The sequence below is a fragment of the Homo sapiens genome, chromosome X (genome assembly GCF_000001405.40).
Source record: "Homo sapiens chromosome X, GRCh38.p14 Primary Assembly".
In the NCBI taxonomy this organism is placed as follows: Eukaryota; Metazoa; Chordata; class Mammalia; order Primates; family Hominidae; genus Homo; species Homo sapiens.
The window spans coordinates 89,161,503-89,168,634 of NC_000023.11; the positions used below are offsets into that span (position 1 = coordinate 89,161,503).

General features: G+C 39.4%; 2 annotated features.

The window, feature by feature from the left end:
- Positions 1,936–2,503: an enhancer, noted in NCBI's record as "H3K27ac-H3K4me1 hESC enhancer chrX:88418438-88419005 (GRCh37/hg19 assembly coordinates)". NCBI's record gives its function as "activates a minimal SCP1, AML or CMV promoter by ChIP-STARR-seq in primed H9 embryonic stem cells {active_cell/tissue: H9 hESC(primed)}" and the evidence as "EXISTENCE:reporter gene assay evidence [ECO:0000049][PMID:30033119]".
- Positions 2,504–3,070: an enhancer, noted in NCBI's record as "H3K27ac-H3K4me1 hESC enhancer chrX:88419006-88419572 (GRCh37/hg19 assembly coordinates)". NCBI's record gives its function as "activates a minimal SCP1, AML or CMV promoter by ChIP-STARR-seq in primed H9 embryonic stem cells {active_cell/tissue: H9 hESC(primed)}" and the evidence as "EXISTENCE:reporter gene assay evidence [ECO:0000049][PMID:30033119]".

The following is a 7,132-nucleotide window of genomic DNA, read 5'->3' on the forward strand; positions in this document are numbered from 1 at the left end:
GTCCCCTTGATCCAGAGCTGAGTTCAAGTCCTGAATATCCTTGTTAATTTTCTGTCTCATTGATCTGTCTGATATTGACAGTTTGGTGTTAAAGGCTCCCACTATTATTGTGTAGGAGTCTAAGTCTCTTTGTAGTCTCTAAGAACTTGTTTTATGAATCTGGGTGCTCCTGCATTGGGTGCATATATATTCAGAATAGTTAGCATTTCTTGTTGGATTGTTCCTTTTACCATTATGTAATGTCCTTCTTGTCTTTTTTTATCTTTGTTGATTTAAAGTCTGTTTTGTCAGAGACTAAGACTGCAACCCCTGCTTTTTTTCTGCTTTTTGTTTGCTTGGTAAATTTTTCACCATCCCTTTGTTTGAGCCTATGTGTGTCTTTCCATATGAGATAGATCTCCTGAATACAACACACCGATGGATATTGACTCTTTCTCCAATTTTCCAGTATGTGTATTTTAATTGGGGCATTTAGCCCACTTACATTTAAGGTTAGTATTGTTATGTGTGAATTTGATCCTGTCATCATGATGCTATCTGGTTATTTTGCACACTAGTTGATGCAGTTTCTTCATAGTGTCATTTGTCTTTATATTTTGGTGTGTTTTTGCAGTGGCTGGTACTGGTTTTTCCTCTCCGTATTTAGTGTTTCTTGCAGGATCTCTTGCAAGGCAGACCTAATGGTAACGAAATCCCTCAGCATTTGCTTGTCTGGAAAGGATTTTATTTCTCCATTGTTTATGAAGCTCAATTTGGCTGAATATGAAACTCTGGGTTGAAAATTCTTTTCTTTAATAATGCTGAATATTGGCCCCCAGTCTCTTCTGGCTTGTAGAGCTTCTGCTGAGAGCTCTGCTATTAATCTGATGAACTTTCCTTTGTGGGTGGCCTGGCCTTTCTCTCTGGCTGTCCTTAACAATTTTTCCTTCATTTTGACCTTGGAATATCTGATGATTATGTCTCGGGGTTGATCGTCTCATGGAGTATCTTAGTGGTGTTTTCTGTATTTCCTGAATTTGCATGTTGGCCTGCCTTACTAGGTTGCGGAAGTTCTCCTGGATAATATCCTGAAGTGTGTTTTCCAGCTTGCTTCCATTCTCCCCATCTCCTTCAGGTACTCCAATCAATCACAAGTTCAGTCTTTTTATGAAGTCCCACATTTCTTGGAGGCTTTGTTCCTTCCTTTTCATTCTTTTTTCTCTAGTCTTATCTACATGCCTTATTTCAGCAAAGTGGTCTTCAAACTGATATCCTTTCTTCTGTTTGGTCAATTTAGTTATTGATACTTGTATATGATTCATGAAGTTCTTATGCTGTATTTTTCAGCTCCATCAGGTCATTTATTTTCCTCTCTAAATTGGCTATTCTAATTAGCAGCTCCTCTAACTTTTTATCAAGGTTCTTAGCTTATTTGCTTTGGGTTAAAACATGCTCCTTTAGCTCAGTGTAGTTTTTTATTACCCATCTTCTGAAGCCTCCTTCTGTCAATTCAACTATCTCATCATCCGTCCAGTTCTGCACCCTTGCTGGAGAGACGTTGTGATAATTTGGAGGAGTAGAAGCACTCTGGCCTTTTGGGTTTTTGGCATTTATTTTAAATTGTTGTTGATTCTTTCTCATCTTTGTGAGTTTGTCTAGTTTCAATCTTTGCGGCTGCTGACCCTTGGATAGGGTTTTTTGGGGCCTTTTGTTGTTGATGTTGTTGTTGTTGCTTTCCGTTTGTTTGTTTTTCTTTCAATGCTCAGATCCCTCTTCTGTAGAGCTGCTACAGTTTTCTGTGGGTTCACTTCAGAGCCTATTCACCTGGTTCACTCCCACGCCTGGAGATGTCACTTAAGGAGCCTGGAGAACAGCAGAGATAGGTGCCTGCTCCTTCTTCTGGGATATCTGACCTCGAAGGGCACCAACCTGATGCCAGTAGGCTCCTGTGTAGGATGTCTAACAATCCCTGTTGGAGGGTCCCACCCAGTTGGGTGGCACGGGGAACAGGACCCATTTAATGAAGCACTTTGTCTGTCCCTTGGTGGAGGGGGTGTGCTTCACTGGGGAAAAACCCACTAGTCTGGGCTGCCTGGATTCCTCAGAACTACCAGGAGAAAAGGCTATGTCTGCTGGTCGGCAGAGACTGTGGCCACCCCTCCCCTGGAGCCTCAGGCCCAGGGAGATCCAGGTTCTCTCTCTGAGCCTCTGGCTAGAGTTATTGGAGTTCCCAATGAGGAAGGATGAGTCAGAGTCAAGCCTGAAGAGGCACTGTGGTTTCAGTCTGCCACAGTCAGTGTGTTGGGCTGTGGGGGACAGGTCTTTTGACCAAGTGGTCCAGCCTCCCTGGCTCCAGCAGGGGAAAAGCACAGCCTGGAGCTATAGAGATGGATGCCACCCTTCCGTTGCCCGGGGAGCTTAGCATGTTAGACAGTTGTGAGTCCCAGTGCTGAGTGCTTCCCGTCCCCTGAGGAGCTCAAATGGCTTAGACAGCAGGCAGCCGCAGCTGTGGTGTTGGTCACCCCTCCCCCCAGGAGCCTGCTAGGCTTAAGCAGATTCCAGCTAAGAGTCTGTTGAGAATCTGCAGGGGTCTGGGGTTGGGACGTTAGTTCCCTGTGGCATGGGTTCACGAGTGGGATCTTCTAATCTGTGGGTTGCACAGTTCTGTGGAAAAAGCACAGTTTCCCTGGCTGGGTGGCATGCTCACTCACTGCCTCCTTTGGCTGGGGTGGTGGGGGCTCTCTTGCCCCATGTGGCTCTCAGGTGGGCCACAGCACTACATTGCTCTTCCTTGCTCTCCGTGGATCACGCCAGCCTCCTAGTCATTTCTGATGAGAGAACCTCGATACCTTGGTTGCTAGTAAAGGATTCACATGCTTACTATGGTTCGTTTTGATGGGAGTCTCTGAACGCCACTGTTTCTAGTGAGCCATCTAAAAACCATTATATATAAAGTTTCGGTGCCGCAAAAGAAATAGCACTCGAATATAAAATTTTATTTTTAATTCTCAGCAAGGCAAGGTACTTCTATAGAAGGGTGCACCCTCACAGATGGAGCAATGGCGAGTGCACACCTGGACAAGGGAGGGAAAGGGGTTCTTATCCCTGATGCACGTGGCACCTGCTGCTGTGTCATTCCCCTATTGGCTAGGGTTGGACCGCACAGGCTAAACTGATTCCAACTGGCTAATTTAGAGAATGATGGGGTGAGTGCCTTGGTGGGAAAAAAAAAATGGTTATGCAGGGTGGAGAAAAATGAGTCAGGGTGGAGCAGGTAGCAGGTAACCGGAATAAGTCAGGGTGGAGCAGGTGATCGGAATGAGTCAGGGTAGAGTAGATAATGGAAAAAGGTTGCTTTATGTGGAAGTTAAGTTTAAAAATACAAGGCAAAGAACTGAACATACTGACATATTAATTCTTTGAAGACAAATTTAGAATTCATATTTAACATTTCTTTACTTAAAAAGACTTTTCAAGTTTCTTTGACAACTATACCCTTAAAGTATTTCTAAATTAAATTAAATGATAGGTATTTATCTTAATTCTAAATCATTTTTAATTAAGATAAAATGTGTTGCCAAATAATAACTAAGATAACTAAAAGTTAAACATTCTAATTACTATTTTATGTAATTATGTAATTAAAAACTAAAACTAAAAAAAAGATAGTATACAAAATTTACAAAAATGTAAGATATGTCTGTTTGGAGAAAGGTAAGAAAAAGGCATGAGGATGTGGTTTTTGTTAAAGAAAACGTAATTTTGTCTAGTTTACCTGGTATTTAAAAGTTGTTTCAAATTTTTTTAATTAAAAATTATATAGATAAACTAAAATGAGTACAAATATTATAAAGATTTATAAAATAAGAAACTTACAAAATAATTTATGTGTGATCAAACTAACTAAAATTAATAAATTTATTATAAGGATTTTTAAAAATGAGCATTCATCAATGACAGATAGCAGGCAGGACTAACTTGTAGCTCCCACTCGGATGGACAGAACAGCATATGGAGCATCGTGAACTTTTGTTCCAAGCACTACTGCAGGAAAGTATCAGGAAAACTGAAAGAATTCACAGACCCACTGAAAGAAGTGGCTTGCCACTGCAAACTCCATAATAAAGACAAAACACTGAGACAAAGCAAGCCCCACCCAAGGAGAGTAGGGCTCAGACATGCCTTGCCCTACCCCAGCTGATGTTCTTTCTCTACTAGCCCTGGTAGCCAAAGACAAAAGACATAATCACTTGGGAGGTCTATGGCCCCACCCATCACCTGAGAAACCCGAATATCTATCCAGGAAACCTTAGAGCAAGCTTGTATGCCTCCTATACTACTGCAGCTAACGCTCTCTTGAAAGTTTCACCTCCTGGCTGAAGGCCAACCAACTCAACCCATTACAGCAACTCATTGAAGAACAACCCTGCTTCAAGAAAGGAGAAGACAACAGCTAATTCCACTGCAGGGAACATTCTGTAACCAGAGGTCTTGAGCCTGTCCACATGACAACTTCACTGCTAGCACAACCAGCACTGGGGAAAACCAGCACACTAAACAAAACTACATCCAAGGACACTCACAGAGTCCACTTTACTCTCCTGCTACCTCTCCTGGATCAGGTGGTGGTATGTATACCTGAGAGACCAAAAGATAGATCATACCATATGACTTTTTGCAGACACTACCCTGTACCAGTCCAGAGCCCAGTAGCTCTGCTGGGAGGCTAGACCCAGAGGAGCAATAACAATCACTGCAGTCCAGCTCTCAGGAAGTCCCATCCTTAGGAGAAAGGTGAGTGCACCACATCAAAGGATCACACCCACCCCATGGGACAAAAGAAGCTTACCAGCAGCCTTTGGGCCCCAGATCTTTCCTCTGACATAGTCTACCTGAAAGAGAAAGAAATAGAAAAACAATTCTGATAATATGACAAAACAAAATTTGTCAACACCCCCAAAATTACACATTAGCTCACCAGCAATGGATCCAAACCAAGAAGAAATCTCTGAACTGTCAGAAAAATAATTTAGGAGGTCAATTATTGAGCTACTCAAGGAGGCACCAGGGAAAGGTAAAAACCAGCTTAAAGAAATTAAGAAAACAAAACAGGATTTGGAAGAAAAAATCTCCAGAGAAATAGATAGCACAAATAAAAAACAATAAAAACTTCTGGAAATGAAAGACACACTTAGAGAAGAGCAAAATGCACTGGAAAGTTTCAACAGTTGAATCAAACAAGTAGAAAAAAGAACTTCATAACTCAAAGACAAGGCTTTCAAATTAACCCAATCTGATGAAGAGAAAAAAAAAAGAATAAAAAAATAAACAAAGTTTTTAAGCATTTTGGAATTACATTAAATGACCAAACCTAAGAATAATTGGAGTTCCCGGGAAACAAGATAAATCTAAAAGTTTTGGAAAATTATTTGAGGAAAACTTCTCTGATCTTGCTAGAGATCTAGGCATCCAAATAGAGGAAGCTCAAAGAACAGCTGGGAAATTCGTCACAAAAAGATCATCACCTAGGCACACAGTCATCAGATTATATAAATTGAGATGAAGGAAAGAATATGAAGAGCTGTGAGGCAAAAACATCAGGTAACCTATAAAGAAAAACCTATCAGGTAAACAGCAGATTTCTCAGCAGAAAGCCTACAAGCTAGAAGAGATTAGGGTCCTACTTTTAGCCTCCTTAATCAAAACCATTATTGGCTAAGAATTTTGTATCCAGCAAGACTAAGCTTCACAAATCAAGAAAAGATAGTCTTTTTCAGACAAACAAATGCTGAGAGAATTCATCACTACCAAGTCAGCCTATGAAAACTGCTAAAAGGAGCTCTAAATTTTGAAACAAATCTTCAGTATACACCAACATGAACCCGCTTAAAGCATAAATCTCACATGACCTATAAAAGGATAACACAATGAAAAAACAAACAAACAAAAAAACAAAAAGCATTCAAGCAACAACTAGTATGATGAATAGAATAATATCACACATCTCAATACTACCATTGAATGTAAATGGACTATATGTTCCAATTGGATACATAATGGCAGAAAGGATAAGACTTCAACAGCCAAGGATCTATTATCTTCAAGAGATTCACCTAACATATAAGGACTCACATAAACTTAAGGTAAAGGGGTGGAAAAAGATATTTTATGCAAAATGAAACCAAGAACTAGCAGGACAAGCTGTTGTTATATCAGACAAAATAGACATTAAAGCAAAAACAGTCAAAAAAAAAAAGAGAGACATTATATAATGATAAAAGGACTAGTCCAACAGGAAAATATCACAATCCTAAATATAAATGCACCTAACACTGGAGCTTCTAAATTTATAAAACAATTACTCCTAGACCTAAGAAATGGCATAGATGGTCACACAATAATAGTGGGGGACTACAATATTCCTCTGACAGCACTAGATAGGTCATCAAGACAGAAAGTCAATAAAGAAACAGTGGACTTAAACTATATCCTAGAACAAGTGGACTTAACAGATATTTATACAACATTCTACTAAACAACTGCAGAATATACATTCTGTTCATCAGCACATAAAACATTCTCCAGGATAGACTTTATGGTAGGACACAAAACAAGTCTCGATAAATTTAAGAAAACAGAAATTTTATCAAGTACTCTTTCAGACCACAGTGGGATAAAATTAGAAATAAACTCCAAAAGAAACCCTCAAAACCATGCAAATAGACACAGATTAAATGATCTGTTCCTGAATGATTGTTGGGTCAACAATGAAATCAAGATGAAAATTAAAAAAAAACTTTGAACTGAATTACAATAGTGAAACAGCTTATTAAAACCTCTCAGATACAGCAAAAGTGGTGCTAAGAAGAAAGTTCATAGCATTAAGTGCCTCCATCAAAAAGTCTAAAAGAGCTCAAATAGATAATCAATAGTCACACCTCAAGGAACTAGAAGAAAAGGAACAAATCAAACCCAAGCCCAACAGAAGAAAAGAAATAACAAAGATCAGAACAGAACTAAATGAAATTGAAACAAAAAAATACAAAAGGTAAATAAAACAAAAAGATGGTTCTTCAAAAAGATAAACAAACTTGGTAGACCTTTAGTGAGATTAACTATAAAAAGAAGAGAGAAGATCCAAATAAAGTCAATT